Source organism: Homo sapiens, chromosome 6 (assembly GCF_000001405.40).
Source record: "Homo sapiens chromosome 6, GRCh38.p14 Primary Assembly".
NCBI lineage: Eukaryota > Metazoa > Chordata > Mammalia > Primates > Hominidae > Homo > Homo sapiens.
In genome coordinates, this window is record NC_000006.12 from 80,262,809 (window position 1) to 80,289,241 (window position 26,433).

Here is a 26,433-nt window from a genome sequence, read left to right on the forward strand (position 1 = left end):
TCACTCCTTAAAAAAATAAAATACTGTCATTCACAACCTAAGCTATTGTAAGTATATCTCACTTCTTCTGGTATAATAGACAGAAACATGTTACTGTTATAGTCCTTGTCAATGAAAGCATTGCAGAATAAAGAATTGTAAATCAAATAGGAATGGATTGTTGATATTTTTGTGCATTATGAGGAAAGAAAATTACTCAGCTCTTTCCCTGAACAAAAGGATTTAAACCTAGATAAAAATTGATTTTTAAATATTAAATTGTATTTCTGGAGAACTATTATTATTGTATCTTCTCACTAATATCCTATTAGCAATAATGTAATTTTTGACCTTAAGATTTTTGTGCCTCTGTTGTGCCACTGCTCTCCATTGGGCGTGACAGAGCGAGACCTTGTCTCAAAACAAACAAATGAATAAAACACAATAAATTTCTCCTCTGTATTCCTACCTTCTCTATTAAGTAATCAATGAATATGTTACGGAAAAATAGTACTATTTCTGCTAAAGAATTCTTTTCCTGAATCCATTTGTCACATTAATAACTTAGATACATAATTAAAACCCTCTTATCTTGGTTTTAATGAAAGCACGTAAGTTATATATTTTGTTTTTCTCTGTGCCATCTTAGTTATATACACTACAAAAGATATGTGTAATTTTTGCTGAAATATCCTTTGAGTTTTACTCCAGCACTTTTTTGAGTCATACCCAAAAACCCAAAAGATTTTAAGCCTTGCCCATGTATTATGAACTACACATAATTTTTGCTTCACAATGGGCCAAAAATTCATTTATTCCAGCAGAATTGGACCAAGTTTTAGAAAATAGGACCATTTATCCATGGTGATACAGAAGTGTAGCAGTGTTTATACTTTTGATCATTCCTTAGGGAAGCATGACCTTGGTAGACAACCAGCTGGCTTCAGGGAAAATTGTACCCTTGATACGTGCTTAAAACAGCAGTGTAAAATGTAACTGGCTGACAATCTTGGTTTTGGTTAGGGTCACTTTCTTCTTATTCACGGTATGCTGGGAGTACAAGGGATGATGTCAGTTTCTACCCTTTAGAACTGTTATGATGGCCAGACATAGTATTTCCCTCTGTTGTCAACACTTGAGAAAAATTTGCCAAGTGGGGACTTACGAATTGAAAAGCAGAGGATATTAGTAATTGTTGTTTTAAGAAGAGAAAAATTCATTTTTCAATTTTTTTTAGAAAAGAACAAAGGAGTTGAAATTTAAAATTCTAGAAAAACTTGTTTCTAACAAAAATAAATTGATTTTTAATACCAGTATCATGCCTTTCCTTGTTACTTATCACTTAAAATAATCTTTAAATTAATTTCTTTCTTTCTTGGGTATGCTTTGCCCTAGGGCATTGTGGCAACATATATAGTACAACCCTTTAGGGACCTGAGTTAACTCGTCTTTGCTTCCCCAGTATTAGCACATGTGGTTCAAGAAATTGTTTTAATATGAACTGATGACCTTTGGAATTTATACAACATTAAAAGTTAATTGAGAGATTGTATGTAATAAATAAGATGATGAAAGTGATTTCCTGGTTTGTACTAATATAATGTTCAAATTTTCTTATTTGGCATTATTTATCTCCTAATTACTGGCACAATATGGAGCAAAGCTATGAGGCTCAGAGGTTTTCTAGTGTGTAACTTGTCTCTTTTGTTTCTGTAGCAGTGAATTATAGGTGCTGTTACCATGTATAAGTTTTCTCTAAGATTCTGGTTAGCTGATTTACCGTTGAAGATTTTTCAGGAGAGGAGTGCTGTCATGGATAAGCAGTCTGGCAGAGGATGTGTGACATTGATGATGTCAGGAAAATTTTTCCCTGTGTCTCTTTCAGAATGGAGGATGGTGAGGAAACCAGAACGTGATGCTTTTTAAGAAAAGAGGACATGGTAAACAATTGAGATTTGATTATATATTTTTCCATATGGAATATCATATTCTGAAAAGATTTTCTTTCCAATCCTCAAAGGGACCAGTTTAAGAAATTAGATGTATTAAGCACCTTTGAAACACTATATCAACAACAAAACATAAAACAGGGGGATTAAAAAATGGAGAAAGGACTCAAATAGACATTTGTCCAAGAAAGATATGCCAGTGGCCATTAAGCACCTGGAAATTGCTTAACACCACTAATTATTAGGGAAATACAAATCACAATCACAATGAGATACCACCTCGTTCCCATTGGGATGGCTACTGTCAAAACTACAGAAAATAAGTGTTGGTACAGATGTGGAGAAATTGCATCTCTTGTGCACTGTTGGTGGGAATGTAAAATGGTATAGCCTCTGTGGAAATTACTATGACTATTTCTGAAAATATTAAACAATTATGGCATGACCCAGCAATTCCACTTCTGGGTATATATACAAAAGAAGTGAAAGCAGGGACTCAAACAGATATTTGTACACCTATGCTCATTGCAGCAGTACTCACAGTAGCCAGAAGGTAAAAGGAACTTAAGCATCCATTGATAGATGAATGTATAAACAAAATGTGATATATACATACAGTGGGATATTACTGTTTCAAAGGAGGGAAATTTTGACACATGATACAGCATAGATGAACCTTGAAAACATTATGCAACGTGAAATAAGGCAGTCACAAGATGACAAATATTGTATGAACCCATTTATATAAGGTTCCTAAACCAGTCAGATTCATAGAGACAGAAAGTAGAATGACACCAAGGGCTTGGAAGAAGAGGGAATGAGGAGTTATTGTTTAATGGCTACAGAGTTTTGCTAGGGAAGATAGATAAGGACTAGAGACGGATGGTCGTGATGGTTGTGTAATAATGTGAATGTACTTAATGCCACAGAACTGTACAATTAAAAATGATTAAAAGGGGAAAACAAAACTATCTTTATGGAATTTTTCAGTCAGCTTGTAATTATAACCTGAATGCTAAACTTGGAACAATATAATAGGTATTAACACCATGGTAACAACACTTGAATGAAGGTAAACTGCTGGAATTAATAAATGATAAATATAGTGGAATGATAATGACAGTGGTCTTTATGGTTGGTTCAGGTTCTAAATTTGCCAAATACTGTGCAGTAACTCTTGAACTCTCACTTTTTTATTTATTAGAAGAGCATAAGCATATTTACAGTAAGGCTTTAGTTATGTGGTACTTCCAAATGCCTCCTGCCATTGCCAACTCCAAAGAAAAATCCTGGAAGAGCCAGGAAGGGTCTTCTAAGGACAGAAGGTGTGGAAGATGCAGCACCCTGATTGTGTCTCAAAAGTACAACTTGGCTTTGTAGTAGACCTTTTCAACAGTTTTCTAAAATTCTATGACATGGAAGTCAACAGTATTAATAGCCAAATCACATGTTACAATTTCTTTTCTTCATAGAAACAGATTGAGTTGAGATGGAGATTAGGAATAAGTTTATGAAAATGTTTTTAAAAACTGATGGAAAAGAGTGAAGATACAAAAACAACCTGACAAGCAGCTACTTCAATCTTTGAAATATTGTTTTGGCAGAAATAATTATGTTGCTACCTACAGGTGGTTATGCTTTGTTTGATGTTTAAGCTGACAGGGAAATGGGGCAAAAAACTTTTGAAAGCATTTATTTACTATTTACCCATGTTTAACTACATCTCTAATAAATGTCCTCTAGTCCAGTACAATACCTTTGCCGCCATTGTGACCTTTTTTCAGTAGGAACGGGAAGCTTGTGTTCAGTACTAACTCAGTGTTTGTGTATTTGTTACCATCATGCATGTTTAAAAAGGTACACAGAAGCATGTATTGTACTGCGAACTCGTTATTCTAAAACAAGTCTGGAATAGGAAAAAATAGGTGGAGAGAGTTGGCCCAGGGCAGTCCTCTATTACAATTAGAACGATTAGAGCTTAGGTTATAGGACTTCTCTTTCAGCATCCTAATAACATTACTGGTCCCCTCTAAGATATGAAAGACATCAGAGACTTCCAGTCTTGAAGAGTTATTCATGTAAATTACTGTGTCTGTGTGCTTTTTGGGGGGATCAATATAAGCAACATTTATTGAGCGGCCACATATACAATGTATTAGGTATTCTAGTTAGGTACAGAATATTTGTTAGTTCTGAATTCCATGCTCTTGAATGATTTGGAGTGCTGAAGGAGATAGTATAGAGACCACCACCACCCCCCGCCCATGAAAAAAAATTCCTCAAAACAAAGAAACAAAGATACTTAGGTCCTTTTCTAAGCTGTTTATCTTTTACTAATATACAAAGGGCATAATTTGCTCAATGTAATATCTATTTGCCATGTGCTGTGTTCTTCAGTAGGCATTGTAAGTAAGAGTTTCTGTCTTCAAACTTGTAATTTAGAGTGAGGTTGGAGGATTAGACATATCTATACAGTGCTGTGCTATGAGGTAAATTGTGTGTCTTCCTAAGAGAGAGAGTTGAAGCAGAGTGTGCTGCCTTCACCTTATTACTGTACTTGATTCTTGCCCTTGTAACCTGGTTTTAGGTTTCATATAATATTTTGCATTGTCAGCTCCCTGAAATTCTACTGGGAAATGGTTACGAGTACATAGACAATCTGACAAGAAAAAGGAGGAAAGGTACCATGGGGTTTAATATAAGGGAAAGCCCAGCTGGTTGCGGGGACCAGGGAGAAAGAGTTGTATGAGATGGGTCTTGAGGGAGGGATAGAATGTCTGCCAGTGTGGGGAAGGAAGTCTGAGGTGGAAAACCATCAATCACATTCAGAGTTGTGAGGGGACTGACATGCCTGGAGCATAGAGGGACTATTAGAAAGCAAGTTGGAAAGGTAAGGTCGATTAACTGACAGGAACATGTTTATCTGAAATATTTTGAAGTAGCTTTCAGAAAGATGTCCACTTTTAATTTTGCAAAAGCAGTTTTCTTAGGTTCTTCAGTATTTCAGTTCTGATTATACAAATCATTGAGGAAAAAATGAACCAGTGAGGATGTACAAAAATTTCCCAAATGTTTTATTTCTTTGTCAACATTATTTGCTTATTTTTCAGCTCTTCATGTAATTGTCTTTGTGCTCTGCTTGTTCCCTTTTGTACTTTTTCCACACGGGTGATAAAGCCCTGACAATTTAGTTTTTCTTGGTTTACACTTTCCTACAATACTAAAATATGTGTAACCCCCTCACTAACATCTTTGCCAAAATGGAGTTTTCAAGACATTCTCTGAAGCTCAGGACTGTTTTTTTGTTGTTGTTTAGCATTGGCATTTCTCCAGCGGAATACTAGCCAGTGGTCCAGTCATGTGTGGAGGAGGTCATGCTGATTAACAAATTACTAGGCATATATTAATATGTTTGCTAACCTGTGATTAATTGTGAGGTTTTTCTGGCTAACTTGTTACATGCACTTGGCTACAAAACAAGAAAACGTCTCAAAAAATGTATCTAATTCAGTTGCGTTGATATTTGAAGTTCATCAAAATTCTATCCTTAATGATTCTAAATTGTATAAATAATATGTTCTTGATTAATGAAGTATACGTGCTATGATTTTACCATTAGTTGTACTTATATGTATGCATTACATATATGAGGTTCTCTTGATTTCAGAAGGAACTGATACAGACCAGCTTTGGTGTTTCTTTTGCTTTTTATTAGCTTTATATTCGGATAGAAAATATTAAAAGGGCTATAAATTGCCTATCCAAAATATTGCTTTTTTTTAACCTTATCAGCAGGCAGAATAGTTGCTGTACTTGGTGTAGGTAAGGTTCAGTTGTCTGTAAGAAAACAATCTTGCTATAGATTTTGAGGAAGAAATAAAATAAAAAATACAGATAGATGATAAATGTTTTGCTTTTCAAATGTCGATGTTGTACTTTCAGGAATATGGAAGCTTTATGGTTTGCCTATCTGTATCAGTTCTCCTAGAATAACAACTTAACAGTTTTCCTGGTTGGATTGTGTTAAAATCTTTAAAGGCTATATTCACTAAAACATATGTCTAATGTTTGGGCAGCCAAAGTCTGTGCAATCATTTTAACAGAGTATAACTTAGCAGCTCTCTTATTACCACAAATATCTTATTGTTAAAACTACATTAAAATACCATCAATTTGGAACATGCTACTTCATAATTAAATCATTCTGGGATGTGATCAAGTATATACTTCTGAACTACCTTAAAAATGGATTGTGCTAAGAATGCAATAGCATAAATAAATTTAAAGAGAACATGCATAATAAAGTTAAACGATTTGTTTTAATGGAGTTTTTATCTAGTTAACTTTTCTTGAGTGTCTACAATGTTCAGAGCACTGTGCTAGACATTCTGCATTGGTTAATTTATGGTCATTCATAAAGACGTTTGGGTAGAAAGAAAATGGGTAATGGGGAAAAGTCATAGAGTGGCCAAACAAGAAACAAGTTTAGGGTTCCAGCAGAACAGGGATGCCTTGATATATCTGCCTTTGGCAATGCCGTGTGTACGGAGCTGGGATTCTGATTGCTCCTATTGTGATAGTATGCCACTAATGCTCTGTTGGACGGAATGACTAACTGAAGTGGTGAGAAAACTGCGAGCCTTTCAGGACTGTTTTTAATGCTTTTTTGACAAATCTTTTAGAACAAATCTTTTGTTCCTTTGCAGGGAACAAAGTCCTTTTGTTTTATGGTAGAGGAGTTATTCAGGGTCCTGATCTTCAATTGGCTTAGCTTTCCCTGATGCCATTTGTCACCCGTAACTCATTGGTGCTCCATCTGCCATAGCCCGGAATCCAGGAACAGTACTCGGTGGTAAAAAGTTGGAGAAGTAGATACTTGCAAATCCAGCCTTACGTGATCTTTCCTGGCTTTGATAGGTTCAGCTTTCATCCTGAAAAGTTGTTTAAACACTTTTAATTTGTTTCAAGTGATGAAATGAATTTATCTCAGAAGAAAATTTAAAAACTTTAAAATTTATTTTATTTGGAAGAAAATATTTTTTAAATGATTATTAGCATTGTATCTACAATTATTTATCTTAAAAAGGTAAATGGCCATCTCCATTGAAACATACTGCATTAATTTTTACTAAGGACATCAAAATGCTAAATATGGTTAGGGGAATTTCTTGACAGTTACATATTATTTTGCCTAGATATGTGAACATTAAAAGCCTATTAAAGGGGACAAAAATATGTACTTTAATCAGAATATCTAATTAAAATAGACAGAATAGAAAGAAATAACATTCTCTTGTTTTGTAGATTTATAATGATCTCATTTTCACTATACTAACATTGTTAATAATTTCCAAAGTAGTATAGAAAAGCAGTCTTCAGGAATTTTATCAAGTTAAAATTGTGAATGATAAAAAGCATATAACAAATTTCTACTATACCTCACAAAATGATTGAACTGTTTTCAGACAGTTCAGTATATGCTAATTGAGTGTGACTGAAAGTATCAGTCTTCTAAATTTTTGCATTTTCAGAATTTTGACATAATACATTTTAATACTTTTAGACATTGGCAATGATTTTTAAGAAGCAAAAATGAATCATAAGTGCTTTCCAAATTAAGTGAAGTAATTGTAAAATACTCAGCTCAGAGCCTAGCACATAGCAATTTTTGTGACAATCATTGTTTATGATTGTGATTGTTACTTCTGACTCCTCTCTTCTTGCTGCACTATTTTTGTTCCATTTGTTTGTAGACAAGTGGCAATTTCCACAAACTCAAAGTGTGATTACTTTTATTGTATTTTTCCTCTAGTTCTTGGTGTTTTAGAAATTTCTGGAATTATTTCCATATCTGTCAGCCTAACTCCTCATCTGAGAGCACACAATTTTTGTAATGCACATACAGAGGTGTTGAAGAACTTGAACTTGTCTGATGCCAGTAGTTTATTGCTCATTTTGTCAAGTATCTAACGGCTTTGAGGGCCAAGTGATGAGCTGGATATGGTCCTGACCTGGAGCAGATCACACAGAGTGGGATGGGAAGACTGGCTCCCTGCGTTGTTAGTGTGCCTGTTTGCTGCTGGAGTTTGGATCTCAGGATTCCTTTGTTTCTGAAGCTAGTCCTAAGATATCACAAAAACATTATTATGTTTTTTGAGAAGATTATAACTACAAAATAACATGTATTTTTAAATGTTTGGCACTAATTCAAGGGCTTTCCCTTTATTTTTATTTATTTTAGACTTACTAGAATACTTTCAGTGATCTAAACATACATAAAGCAAAAAGTAAAAGTCTCTTTCCTACACTTCCTTCACTGCATTGCTCGGGAGAAACTATTTTTGATATTTTGGAGTGAAAGTTTCTGGACTGTTTATACATGTTGGCTCGATGTACATGTTGAAAAGATAAGTTGCTTGGTGTGCTCACTGCTGTGGTGGTTGTTTTTTACAAAATATAAGATTATATCGTCCTGCAACTTACTCATTTTACCAGTTAATTTGTCATGGCTGTCTTTACATGTCCTTAGTCTTTTTCATGGCTGCATAATACTCTACTATGTTGATGCATATTGGTCTATTTAGTCATTCCTCTGCTGAGGAGTGCTCAGAAGGGCTCCAAATTTTATCTGCTTACAAATCATGTTGAATCAACCTCAAATGTTGGAAGCTTTTGTCCTTGGTCATCTGTGCTTGATTTCACCATCCACTCTGTGGCCATCTGCATAGGCTATAGGATACATAGGCCACCTGCCCTGGTTGCTTGTTTGCTTTCAGGGATTATTCTAAAGGTTGTCATTTGATTTTGGATAGGCCTGAGCTCAGACAAAAAGGAACAATTTGGTTGTGTAGGGTTTTAGGGTACCAGCATTTTTATAGAAGTTTCTTATTTCTACCTGCTCAAAATTTAAGATGCACCAGATAGCTTGGATGGATTTTGGCTGTCATCCTTAGATACTTTTATGTTGGCCAAGTTCTGAGTTTCAGAGCTATAAGAGTGGTCTGATTCGGAGGTTGCAGTGAGCCGACATGGTGCCACTGCACTCCAGCCTGAGCAACAGAGTGAGACTCCATCTCAAAAAAAAACAAAAAAAGAATGATCTGATTGTCAAATCTTTTTTTTTTCATTGTTTATTCTTAAAGTCAGGACATCTTTTAGAAAACACTTTGAAAATACATATGTTGTTTTGTGATTGTGGAATATTTTTGTCTTTTTATATTTTTGTACAGGTACATTGAAATTTAATTTGTGACTCTTACAAATGGCATAATTAATCACAGTCATAGAAAGCCAAATACAAATATCCTAAGGTTAGCGTTTCACTGGGGTTTGAGTGGTATTCATTAAGGTGTTCATAAAATTTTATGTTCTAAAGTCACTATTTACCTAGTAGATATGGTAACTTATTTTTGTCATGGCTACTGGCTATATCTGAGAGTTTAACATATGCTAGCTGAAACTGCTGCATACTTTTTAAATTCTGAACTATAATTGCCTAGAATGAATGAAATCTTTTATTTCAATAGATATTTTTGCTTGAAAGATTTCATTTTATATTTATGAAATAGTAACAGATTTTATTAAAGGTGATGTTAAATTGTTAGAAATCTAAAGACAAAACTGCCATTTCTCTTTGGTACTATGATAATTTTTCAACATATTTTAAGCAATAACCTGCTGTTGATTTTAATAGTTTTACCTGCCAACACAGCTGGCATCCTGCTATGATATCATTGCTATACTTTTTTATTTAATATTTTACAGAGTGTATCATGCACAGTGTGGACAACCACATTGAACAACTATTGAGAATACGTACTCATTGTTTGTGACATTTTACCCTTAAAATAGAGTGTGGTCATCAACCAGATTTTAGAGCACATTAACGAAGGAGGTTTACTTTTGCAGGGATTTCTTACTGCCAAATTTTTCCTTTGCTATAGCTTTCACATACTGTTTTTGTGTTTTCCTTTTCCATAAAACAGTATTTCTTAAGGCCATTGTTATTTATGTGCAAACAAATGAATAAAAAAAACTTTCGCTCTTTAACATGAAGAAAAATATTAACATTGAAATATGAAATACAGCAATTCAGTTTATAACACAAACGTATCTTACAATAATGGGTATGCATTTTTAATTGCATATATGGAATTACAAATCTCATTTTTCTTTTCTACTGGGATTACAAACCATATTGAAAAAAATTTTACAGTTCAAAAATCAGATGACTGACCTGTCGAAAGCGAGTTGTAACTTATTGGCATACAATTGAATTACTGATTTTTACACTATTTATTGAATGTATATAATTTACTTTTATTACTGATTTAAAACTACCATCATATATATAAAATAGATATTCTTTTTAACATCAGGTTTTTCTTTTCTCTTTCAGTCTGTGATCAAAACAGGGCGACTGCTAATCAGTCACGAGGCTCCCTTGACAGGCGGCTTTGCATCGGAAATCAGCTCTACAGTTCAGGTAGAGTAATTTTTGGAACTGATTTCAATGCTTGTGCAATTCCACATGCCAATTCCAGAAGAAAATAAATTACTTATCACAATATGTGAAAGCATACACTTTATGGAAATGTAGTGCATGCTTTCATATACTGTGATAAGTAAATTTTTTTTCATTTTTTATTCTGACCACACTTTCTGTTTGTTAGTTAATGATCTAATTAATTTTCTAGAACAGATATCTTAAAATATTGAAAGCTGAAAAATTTTTTATGGGAAGAAAGTTTGGAATGAGTCTACTAAATTAACTTTGCTTGTATTTGCTACGTTAACAGAAAGAAAAATCTTTTTAATTTGAATCTGTTCCCATTCCCTGTTTATATGACTTGAGGTTATGGAATTGGTTGATTGTGGAATTGATCTTAGATTTTCACAGCATTCACGTTCTAAAAATGAATCTCTCAAAAGTCAATAATTTAAATTTAATAAGTAATTTTGAAAATTATTTATTTTAGTTATTCAAATTATGCTATGGTATTGGAAATGCTTTAGAATTGTTTAAAAACCTATGTTTTTTTAAAAAAAATGCTCATTAAGATGCCACATATCAGGAAAAAATTTTATACACCTCTTTCTGGCAAGTTTTACCTAAAACCTGTATTCAAATTTATATCATAGACATATATAAGATAATTTAAGGTAGTTTCATTCTTCCTAATTTTTAAATTGAAAATTAAGTAGCCATATTTTAAATGGAAGGTGCATGTCTTTTAAATTCAGAATATCTTCGCAGTTTGCAAACACTTTACTTCTCTTTACTGGTGTGAAGATGCTTTAATTGTTAAAATATATGAATAGGGAATTCCTTTAAGAGTATATGGCTTACTACATTGTTATAGAATTATGATATATGGATAATGGTAAGTTTTTATTTTTAGATGTTTAATTAGTAAACAATGATTTTTACCAATGAAATATCTTAAGTGCTAATTGCAAAATTAAAATATTTGTAAATTAGATGAACCCAATTTAAACATAAATGTTTTAAAAACTAGATCAAAGTAATCCATAATTATAGTCAAAAACGAAATTATTTTTACAATTTATATGTAGTCACTGATAGTAAGAAAAGCAAATATTTGAGTTTTGTAGATTTATTGTTTTCCTAGTTACTATATCAATTAAAATTTAAAATGTACTGATTATTATTATATAACATGAGTACCTAGTATTTATTGTGTATTTTATACATTGAGTAGCATAATACAAAGATTAGGGCAATCATTTCAAGCCAGAGGCAAAACTGGAAAAAGAAACTGGATTTTCTGACTTATAGTTAATATATAGTCTACTAAACCATTTGAAAGGATAGTGACTGTTGCTAATTGAAACTTTGACAGCCTTGTTGTGTTTTGTTCACTGCTTATTGATATCTCAAAAGTTTCAATTGCATATAATTAAAAAAGGAAAACAAGTAGAACATAGTTGGAATTAGATACTATAACTCCTCTTGTGAAGTTTGCTTTCTGTAAGTGTGCTTTTAAAGTTTGATCTCTGTAAGTTATTGGTAGACTGCAATTTAATACAACATTTTTTTAGATTGGAATAGAATTAGAAAGATAATCTAATCCAGTGTCTCTTGGTCTTAAATAATATGTGGTCTTATGTTAATGGAAAAATGTCTCTCAGGCCCCAAGAATACATTAGTGAATCCTAGTTTGAGAAGTAGTATATTAAGAATTAAACATAGTCACTATAACTAACATAAAATATCATAAACATAATATCAAAATAAGATCCTGAAATTATGTGATAATTGTCAGTTGCAAAAATTGTCAATGAGAGTATCAGAATATAATCGTATTTATATAATAATATGAAGACACCAAAACAAAGCATCTTGTAGCACTCTCAGACTCCCAGGAATGTGTTCATAGATCCTCAGGTGTCCCTAGTCTATATTTTGAGAAATATTGATCTAAACCAACTGCATTCTTTTTACAGATGAGTGTCATCCAGAGTGTTTGTGACTTACCCATTTTATAAAGACAGTGGAATATCTGGGATTAGACAGGAGTCTTGAATAAATGTAAAGTGTGTGCACATGCACTCTTAATTCAAAATCCCCTGCCTTCCACGAGGAAGATAATAGAAGTTTTGGACCCGTTATACAATGTTCTGTTGTTCATGGCAAAATTATTCACCAGCTAACCACAGAATGACTTGAGACAATAGTGTAATATTTGATGGAGGAATTATATTTAATATTTTGGATAATTTGAGTTTGGATTTATTAATATGAGAAATTTGAAAGGTACACAGTGTTTTTGCTTAATTCAGATTTTATTTGCACAAATAGAAAGTATAGAAAATGAATTTTAGTAAAATTTAGTGAGCATGATATCCATAAATGTTTGCCTGTTATGGCTTTTATCTACTGATAAAGAAGATTAGAAAAAAAACTAGACACTTGAAAAATTTTTTTTCATTGATAATTTTCCCATATAATTTTGAGTAATCTGAGTAATAAAATATACCTTTCAGTAACTCTTTCATGCAGATATTCAACTATGCAATATCCTGTATTGAGCTTCCTCTCTATGGAAAGCCTTGTTCCATATTATAAGTGAAACCTGTATCAAATTACCAGTGCCTTGGGTTGTTTAAACTGAGATCACCTAAGTTTGAGGTACAACTGCTTTCACCACTTAGCATGATTCATATTTCTCTATTTCTTTTTTGGGGTATATTTTTTAAGGTTAAAAAAGATAAAACAGGGTTAAGATATTGAAAGCCAACTTTCTGGGACAGCAGAGAAAATGTACACGGACAACTCTTTCATTGTTATCTGGGAAAAGATGTTTTAAATCGTGGATGAGAATGATGTATAAATTTGAGTACTTTTGATTAAAATATGAAGTTATTGTTGGTTCAACAAATGCAAGTTTTATGTCAAAGGAAATGAAAACAATGTTTGCTCCACAGGCGATTTTTGATAGAAGATATCTGGTAGCTTTTTAAAAGCTCATGGTTAATCCTACAAAATTGCTTTTAAAATATTTTAAGAGAATGAGTATTAATAGTAAAGTTATTGTTTTTAAATACATTAAAATCTGAAAACACCTGAAAATATGAACTATGCTGTTTTATTCAAAAGTTTAAGTTACTACCTATATTAAAATAAAAAATATTGAAGAGAATACAGCACTATGGAGAGTATTCTTTTAAGTTTATAATTGGTATTTTTAGATAGAAAAATTATGCTATATAAAATTAAATATCAAATAAAGGAACATTTTTATAAGAAGTGGTATTGGCATTACTATTTAAAGCTTATTTTAGTATACAGATCAAATATGAAAGAAATGAATATAAGATGGAGTCATAATTTATTTACAAAACTCTAGTTTATAGCAGATGGCTCTTTCATCGTGCAAGGAATTCAGTGCCCACATCTTAGGTTTGTTTCATTCCTGCTACTTTTTTTTTTATAAGCCTATTTATTTTACCATTTTACAGAAATTTATTGTTAACAGTCTTAGTTTGAAATAATGGTAAACTCACAGAAGTGATTAGAAGACTATTTTATATTGATTAGACATAATTTTTAAACTTATTTATTTAAAGTTTCTTCATAAAACATATATATAGAGAGAAATAAATGATTACAAAAATAAAAAACAGTGCATCTAATTTACGAAGTGCTTTATATTTCTATTGGATTTAATTTGGAAATTAACTGGAAGGCAGAGCAAGCTGAGGTCTGGTATATTTGGCCCCACTCTGGGGAAGATTTCTTGGTCAGTTATTTAAAGCTTCACTCTCTCTTCTTATCTTACATTCCCATCTGTTCTCACTTTAGGGTATGGGAACTTTTTCATTCTTTTCTTTTACTTGACACATACTATAACTTAAAATGCTTCTTTTAGGGAGTCATGAATTGTGCACCGTAATTTGTGGAAAAGTGCAATGACTATAGAGTTTAGATAATTCATTGTTCTTTTTATTGTGTATTTTAAGCAAAGATTTTATTGTTTCAGAAAATTATATGAATGAATTTTATTTGATGCTTGTATGCTTCAGCTTTATGTAACCCCAGGTTTTTTTAAGAAAGCCTTTAGTGTGTAAAAGTGTTAACCTCATCTATTTTAATATCACCCAAATTAATTTATATATTCTAGAATGTAATGTTCAACATAGCTATTATTTATTTAAATATTAAGACCAAATAGTTTATGGTATTTTGGCTGGTTTAAATAGAGTAAATTTTTTTAAGGATTGTAAATCAGCCTTTATTATTAATTTCCAACACACCTGCATAATGAAAAAACAAATCCTGAGTCTGATAAGAGTTGTGTGATAATTTTTTTTAAAGTTATTGTTTATTTCTCCTGCTTTGGATTCAGTGCTTAAAAAGAGTGCCAGAAATTTTAGGGATGTGGTTGGCTTAAGATTTGAGTTTTTTTTTTTTTTTTTTAAATCACATGGAAGCAATAAGTCTGCAATAAAGAGTCCAATTGGAGAGGATGGTAAGTTTCCATACCATTGTTACATCCTTTCTGTGCGGTCTCTTTTCTTAGCATAAGAACTCAGAAACTGTGGATACCAACATATATTTTTTAAGATTATCAGATTCTAATAGTTCAAAGGATTTTTATAGGGCCTATACAAGTCATTATGTAAAAGAAAACTTTTAATAACTTTCAAGTTAAAGGAATTTTTGCTTTTTTCAGTGTTTCATGTTAGAATAGTTTATGGAGAAGGATTTTTTCTTATAAACTTATTACTACTAAATTTCCAAGCACTTTGTTTAAAGATATCAATCTGAAAAGAGGGGAAAAGATCCTATAGGGTCTTGAATTTTTACCATTCTGGAAAACATGTTTCATTAAAATTGCCGTGCTGGTAAATTGTCATCAGAGAAAACTATCAGATTAGTAATTTGATGAGTAGTTTACTGCAATTTTATAATCTCAGTTAACAAAAAATTTACCAGTGATACAAAACCTTTCCTAATAGCAACAGATAAAACAATCAGGAGAAGTATACTTCTGTACTAAAAGATGGAGCCAGAGCATCAGAAAAACAGTTTAATGTGGAGTGTTTGGATATAGGATGGCATTTTAAAACTGTAGTTTCTTCCTGAAGCCTGTTTAGTATTCTGTAAACAGCTTCTGTGACCACAGATAGGAACCAAAGTCTAAATCACTCTGGGGATATATTGTGGATTGGGCTGCTTCATTACTGTTTGTAGTTAAATCCATGTTATACTCTGTTGGTTCTTCTCCTTGCCCTAACCACACCTGGTCTGCTTCCATGTCATCTTCTCCTTTGCTTGTTTAGTTTCCACCTCCAACCCTTTCCCCATTCTTTTTTTTGAGAGGGAGTCTCGCTCTGTCGCCCAGGCTGGAGTGCAGTGGCGCAATCTCAGCTCACTGCAACCTCCGCCTGCCGGGTTCAAGCAATTCCCTGCCTCAGCCTCCTGAGTAGCTGGGATTACAGGCACCTGCCACCCTGCCCAGCTAATGTTTGTATTTTTAGTAGGCACGAGGTTTCACCATCTTGGCCAGGCTGGTCTTGAACTCCTGACCTTGTGATCCACCGACCTCGGCCTCCCAAAGTGCCTTTCCCCATTCTTTCCTGGGACGTCTCAACCATTTGCATGGTTACTCTTGAAACCTTCAAATTTGAAACTTTCAAGGTTTGACCTGTTGAGCTTTAGACCCAAAATTCCAACATTATGCTTATTTTGGTAGAGATAAAACATTTGTGTAATAAAATGATTATCTGGAAAAATTTGAATGTGAAACAATGAGAAAAGGTAGGCATATGCACATGGTTATTTGCTAGTTTATGGAAATCAGCTTATATAAAAATGAACTCTATTTCTCTTCAACTTTTTCTGGACCTTTTAAACTGTCTCCTTTTTGTTTGTTTGTTTGTTTTTTGTTTTGTTTTGTTTTTTTGAGACAGAGTCTTGCTCTGGCTCCATCACCCAGGCTGGAGTGCAGTGGTGCGATCTCGGCTCACTGCAACCTCTGCCTCCCGGGTTCAAGTGATTCTCCTGCCTCAGCCTCCCAAGTAGCTGTAATTACAGGTACCTGCTGCCACGCCCATCTAATTTTTTGTATTTCTAGTAGAGACAGGGGTTTCACCATGTTGGTCAGGCTGGTCTCGAACTCCTGACCTCAAGTGATCCTCCTGCCTCTTCCTTCCAAAGTGCTGGGATTACAGGCGTGAGCCGCCAGACCCATCCTAAACTGTCTCCTTATCTTTGTCTCCAGCTGTTCACCTCTCGTCTAATTACTATGTATTATTTTCTTAAAACACACATCAAATTTCGTCCATTGTCTGTTTGAAAGCATCCAATGGATCCTCATTGGGTCTAGCAAAAAAATCTTTATGTCGGCATTCAAGATCCTGATCTACTCAAACCAGTCTTCCAGTGTTATTTCTCACATCCCTTTTTGACTCCAGTATGCAGATCACACTGGCCTACTGGCTATTTCCTGAATGATAAGTATTTCTTATAACCATCCTTTATTAAGTATTCTGGGGATAGCCTTAATATGGGCATTTCATCCAAGAATTGGTGTCCTTGTTTTAGAGACACTTAGAGTTTATTAGAAGTCGATGATAAACAGGTAGTTATAGTACATGTTAGAATGGAATATTCAGAGAACTATAGGATTATAAAATACGTGCTCATTTAACCCATATGTGGCAGCTAAGTTAACTCATGAAGGATAAGTATGAACTTGGTAGTGAAGGTAGGTGGGTATTTCAGGCAGAATGAACTATATGAATAAGGAATTAGGCAAAGGATTTGCTATTGAAGGAATTAAAGTGGTTTTGTGTGTTTAAAGACTAGCATGTGAGGCTGTAGCGTAAGGTAAGCGTTGACAAGTAGGTAAGAATTAGATCCTGAAGAATCTTAAATATTAAGGAATTTGTTTTTATGTGGAGGAAATAGATATGACAGAGTAAAGCCAGCTCACATAGATGTAACTTCCAGTTTTCTCATGTAATATATATAAAATATACTTTATGGAGTTCTTGGCAAATAGAAAGTAGTAGGAGCTGAAAATATTACTATAATTATTTAAGGCAAAAGAATATAAGTGAAGAATTTTAAGCAGGAGATTAATATAGATTTAAAAGTTAGAAAAACTCCTAGGTAGTTGTGTAGAGGATACACTGGGGAGGAGTGAGAGAGGAAGTGATGGAGAATTGCTAAAAAGCTAGTCACAGACTGCAAAACAACATTTTGGTCAACAATGGACCACATAGAAGATGTTGGTCCCATGAGATCATAGTGGAGCATAAATAGAAACCTAATAATATGGTGCTTGATGTGGGCATTGCAGATCAAGTATGGGAAATGATTGATATTTAATGCTGCTTCTGGGATATTTGGTTTTCCATGTGAAAAAATATGTATATAAATAAAAATATATATCATCTAGGTTTGTGAAAGTATAGTCTGTGATGTTTGCACAACCACAAAATTGCTTAATGCGTTTCTCAAAATGTATTCCTGTCCTTGTGACTCATTACTGTATGTGATTAAACTAGGTGAGATTTGACGGTCTTCTAAACCAAGGACATGGGAGTAGGTTAGAGAAAGGTGAATTTTTCAGATAGTAGGAGAGAGAATCTGAATGAAAGACTTGCTGACTCACAGGAGTGGGGTGGGGATTGAAGTGGATGAGGGAGAGGCAGACAGAAGTCAAGAATAAAGCATAGCTTGGTTTCTAGGTTGGATGATTTTTGAATAGAGGTGCAGTTTCACTGAGATGGGGAATATCATTGAAGAACAGGTGTATGCGTGTGTGTGTGTGTGTGTGTGTATAAGGTAATGAGTACATTTTAGATTTGTATCTGAAATGGGGATGAAAATGTGTTTCTGGAGCTCAGGAGAGAATCTAAGGTGTAGGAAATGGGTAAGGATTCATTCTCTTATACTGATATACTGGTGGCTGAGTTCATGGGTATAGATAGGGTCACATAGGAAGAGATAATCTTAAGAAGGGAAAGTTTCTGAAGAAGAAGCTGCCTGGGTTGAAGAAGAAGCCACACCAACATTTAAGAGAAAGAAAGGAAGTTATGAAGCAGAGTGAGAGGGAGTGGCTTCAGAAAAGGAAGGGAGTAGGAGAGAGCCATTACATGAGACAAGTGCAGAAGAGTTTGACAATAGCATATATGGCCAAGAATATTAAATGCTTCCAGAATTTAAGACAGCTAAAGACTAATGGTCCTACCTTGCATGTAGCAACTGGAAGACACTGGTGACTGATGAAAACAGAAGGGTGGCCAGGAAGCCAGACAACATTTAGACTGGTGAGTGAGTAAGTAGTGAAGACTTGAACCGATGAATATAGACTACCATTTCAAGAAACTTGACTTTCAAGGAAAGGAGAGGAATGAAGTAGTTAGAGCTAGGTTTGATCTCTTAATGCTATTCACTTGGCATAGAATGCCATTTATTTCCTCAATTTGCAGTCCTCCCTGGCAGCCTGCCTGTCTTCTCCCTCTCCTCCCTGCCCCTCTCCCTGTCCTCATTCTCTCCCTTCCCCTCCAAACCATCTAGCAGTCGGTTTTTAAACATCTATCAAACCTGACCTCTTTTTTCCATTTTCCTAATAAACTCTAAATGAACTTAGAAAAAAAAAAGAAAACCACTAAATCTAAAAGGAAAAGGTAGAAAATAGCTTATATTGGGATGGGCAAGACATTTTTAATCAGAAAATTAAAAGGCAGCAGACTCAATCATACTGTTACAGAGAAATATATTTGCATAAAATGGAAATTTTTGTATGGCAAAAACAAGCATGATTTTAAAAACAATGACAAATGAGAATATGTTGTAACACATGACAGAGAACTAACGTGTACTCTGTTAAGCATTCTTAAATGTCAATACGGAAATTAATAGGGCCTTTATTTAAAGGGTCAGAAACAGATTAGTTTTATAACTATAGCCAGCAAACATGAAAAAATATGCCACTTACTATTGATAAAATGCTAATTTTAAAAATGTAATATCGTTTGTTACTTATAAGAGTGGGACTGCTTAAAAATGAATTTTATTTTCTGCTGAGATGATGTAGAATGTGAATGTATTAATAGAAATTGATTCACGTTTCCAGGATATCATATTGAGAATGTGTATCGAGACTCTTCAAAGTGTAGATTTCCTTTGATTCAAGAATTCTAGGAATCCTCACTTAGGAGTTAAACACAAAAATATGTATTCATCTCAGTGTTGTTCGTTCGATAGGAAAATATCGGACACATTATTAATGACAACAACAGGAATATATTTTAATAAGTTATGATTTGTCCACTTGATGAATGTTATGGATTTATCAAAATCATTAAAAGAGTAGTTGATAACATTGTAATATTTGCATGAATAAAATAGTAAATGAAAACTCACCTGTATGCAAACCTACAGGTACTTTACTTGCTCAATGTTGTGAAAAGAAAAAAGAAAAAAACTTTATATATACATACATCTAGGCATAGGAAAAGAAACTTGCACTATAAGTCTTTTATTGATTTGTATTTTCTAATTGTTTCTTCATTTTTATGTACATACATGTCACTTTTTTAATAATTAAAAGCTTTATTATATGTAGATGTTTCTCTCACATGACATGGTTATTCTTTTAAATCTTCCTAGTTGTTTTAAATTAAAAAACCCATTTTGCTTATAAAGTTGTTTTGCAAAGATTTCATATTACTTATTTTGACATAATTCCTTTATCATGTACATTTGAGTTTTGGGATTTACCATTCATAGTGATGGTGGTTACTTACTCAGAATTGTCATGTGGGATGATTTTAAAACCAATGCCACCTCACCGCATAAGATTTGGTTTTTCTGCAGGTTAGTGTCTGTCTTCTACATGTATGGCATATTTTGATTCATTGCTCTTATTACAGAAGTGAAAGCAGCATTGTATTGGGGTATTCAGATTATTTAATTTTTCTGTATTAATCAGTAATGATACTGAAACTGACATTACTAGCATGTAATTGATACTAACATTGGGTTCACTGCTTATTTTCCATCCCTCTTTTTGGTATTGAATTTATCATGAATTGTCATCATTCTTTTTGAAGTCTTTCTGGATTTAAGCCAGTCAGAAAAAAGATCATATTTCATCTCCCTGAGTAATAAGTGCCCCAGTTTCTCTCATGCAATTCTTGGTATTTCTGTAGTCATAAGTAGTCCCCCTTGAATTCAAAGGTGCATTCATACCAAGCTCCTCTACTCTTTCTCTGTTGTCACCCCAGTAAGCTAAGGAAGACATTTATATTTACATATTTACCAATGAAGTTTCGTAGACTGAATGGACTATTAATTAGTAAAATAGATTCTCTGAAGGAAAGCATTACTTTATTTAAAAAGTTAATGGTGATTTCTATGACTTGGTCCCTTTTTGTTGTTTTTTAATACCTTAAAAGTTGTAGTTTCCATTCATTGCATTGATCCTTGAAAATATGGCTGTATCTTCAAAGAAAATTATAGTGGATTTAAAATATTTTCTTATTTGGTATGAAATGATTGTATTTCAGTATGTATATTTTAAAATGTACAGCCTTATCTTCAAAATTTTCTAACTACAATAAGGTTATTTAAAATTTTATACATGAAAGACAGCAGATAATGTATCCATAACCTGGCTGATTCTCTTGGCCACCTTGTACAACATTTTAGGCAAAAATGAAGACACATATTCAATTTGCCAAGAAATGTTAGCCATGTTTTGTCAGCATTGTATTCACAATCAGTAACAGGATGGGTCTGCCTCCTGGAGACAGAACTAAATTTCTCATTTTGTCATGCCCTTTGTAGGCAATAATGTTGGTGATGTTGATAGCTCATTTTGGTTTGGTAATTTAGGGTAATTAAACTTACAGATCAACTCAGTTTGTGTTTTGTTATGAGGGCCATTATCTATTTTCATGAATGAGTTCACAGCTCACTAAAATATAGTCGAGTTTAAAATAGACATTAAAATAGAGATTCACTACTGCTGATGCATTTTCTCCTCAATTTGAAGTTAAACACTTGTGAAAATTAAGACAAGTTAAAATCAGCACTTACTGCAAAAACAAGAATTTGAAAATGAAGGTTAAAAGCAGAAATCATCTAGTTGATAATTGTTTTGATTTTTCAAATCTATCAATATTAATGTGAGTCTTTAAGATATCTGAAAATTTCCATTTGATTGGAAAATGTTGGATGTTTGATCATTTTCTTTCAAGTTAACTTAAAAAGTGACTTTATTTTTGCTTCTTGATTCATTTGAAGAGACATAACTTTTTTGTTTTAATCCTTTAGAGGATCAGATAATGACATTTGCTGTTTAAGACAGTTTATATTTCAGATGGCACAAAGAGTCTATTTGTCTTTATCAAAATTATTAGCTGAAAAGGATATAATTCATGACTGTTCTTTAAAGGGGATCTAAATATTTATGTTTTTAAAAATGCCTTAAGGTGACTAACATTTCTAAACCTATATTTGTATCATCCACATTTGTAATTGTGCCATTGCTTAAAACAAGTCCTCATTGTGTCCTGTCTTTTGACAGGATTAGTTTGCTCTCTTAATTGTAACACATTTTCATTTCTTTTCTGGATTGATTTAAATTCTGGGCTTCAAAAAGCAGTAGCATAAAATAGTCACCATGCCTGTATTATTAGCTGCTTTCAGAACCACTCAGACAATGTTTTCTCTGAGATGGCTTGTATTTTTAAGTGTTGCATTTTTCTTCTTGTTCTGCTAGTCTTTTTTCTAATAGCAATGGTTAACTCTAATTTATATTAGCAGTTAAAAAAACTGAAACTTAATCTTGCCTTTTCAGCTCATTACTGAAGAATCTCCTGCCTCTGCACTCTGACACAAAATTTATACTTTATTTTTTAACCATGAACTTTTCTGGGCATAGAGTTCTACCTAAGTGTACATAGCTGAACAACTTGAGTGTATTTTGTGAGTAATATTCCAACATCGCACAATTCTAAATTTTATTAAAACCAGCTTTTCTGTGGCAGTCCCAATACACAGTTCAAGTACATTAAAATAATGAAGTACTGCATAAATGTTGATAAAATAGTCTTCTAATATGATGGAATGCCTAATTATGTATTCTGTTATCAATTTACCTAATAAATTAAATGCAGTTTCAATTTTAATAAAACCCGTGTACTTTATAAAAATAGGACCTTTACTAACCTATATCTATACTGAGTCATGGGAGCAACAGTAGCATGGGTAAATCCTTCTGGTAGTAAGCATGGATACTCTTATATCTGTTCAGAGAACCACAGTATCTTTTCTCCTTTCTGCCTGCCCTCTTGCTGCTCTTTCTGCCTTTAAAAAACAAACAAACAAACAACTTTCCGGGCAGTGTCCTCCATGCCAGTCTTGTGAACATGTGGACCTTTGCAGCAAAACTATAATATTTTTTGTCACCATGGGTAAACTAAGCATTATTTTGGGTAGTTTGTGCTTATGAAGGCTTTCTCCATCCTAGTAGACTAAAATAGAAGTATCCTGTAATATTAGATGAAAGTAAGGGAATGAGGTTTGATGTAGGCAAATCTTTTTTTCCTCCCTTGGGGTTGATCAAAGATGATACTCATTAAAAATACTATGAAATTGCTTAATACCATTCGAAAAGCATTTGTAAAGTGGATCTTCTGTCAGTATAAGGGATAAGTGTGTCTCTGTGTGTGTGTGTATATGTGTGTGTGTAGTAAGAGATGTTGATTCTCCCTACATTAACTTTTCAACCTGAAGAATATATGAATTAACTTTTTAAATTGATACTTTTTTAAACAGTGTAATTAAATGAGGTGTGATATATGAATTTTCTGCTTATGCTGTTAATTTTCTCCAAGGATATCATAGCTAACTGTAGCTTTACTGTTGCTACTAGAAGATATTTGGGCGATCAGCACAATACATAATTAAGAAAGAGATTCTTCAAATATAAACTAAGGAAAAAAACAAGTGGGAATTAGGAAAAACATTTAAAAACAATTTCTCCTTAGAGTAAACCCAATTTTAATTTTTCTTTTTAGAACAAATGTCTTATTTTGAAATGCTGGTTAGGCTATTTGAAGAGATTTGCTAAGTACTTAAACATTCATTTGTATGACTTTTCTTACTACTTGCCTTGTTACTCAAAATTGGGACAAAATATTTTGTTTATTGATGAAGACACATTTAGTTAATAATATAAAGCAGCATTATCTTTAACATCAACTTCACATTATATGTTAAAAGATTTCTTTAGAACCAGAGGCTTGGCTCACTGACTACCAGCTATTGAATTATTTTCCTTAGGGACAAACTCTTAGCCTTAAGTTAATGTCTTCTGAGAGGGTAGAATTCCTTATTATACACATATGGATAATTGCTTTGAGTTAACGGGGAGGATAGATGGGCTTCTCAGGTACTGGTTCATTGAAAGTTTTTTGCCTTTCAACTATGAAACCAGCAGTACAGCATTTTTAAATTGATAAGTGTTTCATAGACAGAGTCTGAAGCCCTGTGTTATTAATGAAGGTTTTCATTAGTAAAAGTTTATTTTTTTGTGTCACAGAAGTAGAGTATGATTACTTATATTTATCTTTTTATGACATATACAAGGCAAGCATTTAAGGGTGATTTTATTACATTTGCATTGTTGTTCATCAGTCTTTGGTCATCTGTCTATCAAGTAGAGCTGGCATCTATATTACAATAATTTTCTTTCAAAAAGAAATGTTCAGAAATATACAGTAAGTGACCATAGTTTCAGCTTCTATGTCAGGCCAAAGGGAGGTGAACTGGTGGGGAGTGAGTAGATTAGACCCACTTGTTGTTGATCCAACTGTTAAAAACATTGTTCTCTTTCCCACCAAGTTCCTAAATTCTTATTTACTTGCCTAAACAGGAAGCTTGCATAGAGTCAGAGAGATCCCAAGCTGGTAATGGAATAATGATGACCATATACTTTGTCTTCTGTAGTGGGACAACAGACATAAAGTGAGGTTGTTTGATGTAAACCAGGATGTTCACTTACATAGTTTTCATGCTACTTAATGGGAATATGTCAGCCACCATAGTATGCAATTAAAATTTAAGAGATTAGTGATAATGGAGTTAGGACTATATAGCAATTTTTCTAAATCAAATTTAGGCCTCTTAATGTCTGAGAACTTTAAAAAAGATCAAGAATATAAATGCTATTCCTTGGTTCAGTGATTTTTTTTTTTAATGTAATGTTGATACAGGATTTTTGCTCTTTTAGCTCAGCTAGGTCCAGGTTCTTGTCTCCCAACCAGGAAAAATTAGGCGTGCAGACACCAGAGAGTGAGTGGAACAGAATTTATTAAGCAAAAGGAAAGTTCTCAGCAAAGAGATGGGTCCTGTAAAGCAGGTTCCTGGTTGTTCCCTTCCAGTTTTGAATACAAGGGCTTTTATATAAAAGCTTGATGGAGCTGGATTCCCTGTTTGTATAAGGTGGGAATTCCTGGTGGCTCCACCCCATTCCCCCTGGACGCATGTGGGCACTTAGTCTGCTGAGGGCATGTTTAGACAAGCCCCCTGTGCACGTTCCCTTATCTGCACAAAACATGGGTCAGAGGTTTGCCTGGGACCCTTCCCTTACTTTCTGCCTAAAGCAAGCTGGTTAACTCCTTTCAATGTCAAAGAAAAATTTGAGGTTTCTTTGCCAGTAGCTACTGCTTCTTGTTCACTTCTATAATTTATTCTTAGTTAGTGACAAACTACTCGAGAATCATTGAATGACTTACAATTTGTTGTGTTGGAAATTAAATAATCCTCAGTAGTTCGATAATATCAATGATTCCTAAATAACTTAAAAGCTTTTTTTTTCCAAATTGGGTGTTAGTAGTTAGTATTACGCACAAAATGAAGATAAAATATAATTATATGATTTAGTATGCCTTTTACTTTTTAGCTGCTCGAGTAAGTGAAAAAATGATCCTTTCTATTAATAACAACTTTTAAAGTTTTACAAGCATGGTGTTTTCAAATAATTGCTAAAGGGGCAAATTACACTGTTATTTAATAGTGAATTAAGGATCTAGGGAGAATTGTTAAGCATTTATTATTTCAGTAAACTTCACTTTCATTAAATCATATTGTTAAAGGCCTGAAATTCTATAAAAATTTGTTTAATGGCATACTGACATGTTGTTATTCATCAACCTTAGGGTCTACGTTTTTGAAAAATATGATGAGAAAAGCCCATTTGGCAAGATCAGGATCTCATAGAAAACAGGGATTTAGAAGCAAATAAATATGACATTAAATATACTTGAAATGTATATTTAAAATAAGGACATGACTTCCTAAAGAAACTGGAATAATGAGTATTTGCCAACTGTGTAGATACCCCTCCCCTGAGTGATCTTCTGTTCATAAAATAATGCTGCAATATGTGATTGCCTAAGCCGACTGTACTTTGTCTTAAGGTTTTTAAACTAACTTGTATTATAATTAAAGTTAGTCATATATGTATATATAAATATATACCATATATATGTGTATTTTTTTTTCTTAAATACTGTGAAAATGCCCAGCCTTTTCAGATATTACTCTGAGAGTTAAGGGTTGATTTTCATTGCCTGGTCTTTGTTCATGTGTGGAATGGCTGAGTAAGTAACACATAGTATTGGGAAGCTTAGGGGCAGGGATGGAGGGGTAGGGAGCATTAATGGTTAAGTGAGCATTTTGTTTAAGGGGACAGAGCATATCTGTGTGTATATAAATAGATGTCACATTTTAAAATTCTAGTAAACACAGAGCTGTTTTCTCAAAACATAGATTTGCTAAGCCCTCATTGAGGGATTATTGAATGGCCAATTCATGTATATCTAGAACTTACTCATATATTTCCTTGCTTTTTGTGAGGAAAGAGTAGTTCTTCTAATTGTTCTTTTTATGGTTCTGGTAAGGCATTTTAGACAGTATGGTTGCATATAAAATTTCATTGCAGAATCTAAAATGCGA

At 33.3% G+C, this 26,433-nt stretch overlaps 1 protein-coding gene across 25 annotated transcripts in view; it reads left to right on the forward strand.

Annotated features, from left to right (window-relative positions):
- BCKDHB (branched chain keto acid dehydrogenase E1 subunit beta) overlaps window positions 1-26,433 on the forward strand; it is a 360,067-nt gene that overhangs the window by 156,199 nt on the left and 177,435 nt on the right. For 18 of the 25 annotated variants that reach the window (XR_001743546.3, NR_187564.1, NR_134945.2 and 15 more), the window contains one exon: window positions 10,327-10,413. Coding sequence is in view for 18 of the 25 variants with exons in the window: in NM_001318975.1 (NP_001305904.1) it covers window positions 10,327-10,413 (87 nt within the window). In the remaining 7 variants the exon portion in view is untranslated. Of the gene's footprint in view, window positions 1-10,326; window positions 13,696-18,663; window positions 20,032-25,634; window positions 25,954-26,433 lie in introns of those variants that run through there. The other 7 variants (NR_187563.1, NR_187565.1, NM_001424041.1 and 4 more) reach the window with 5 other exon arrangements.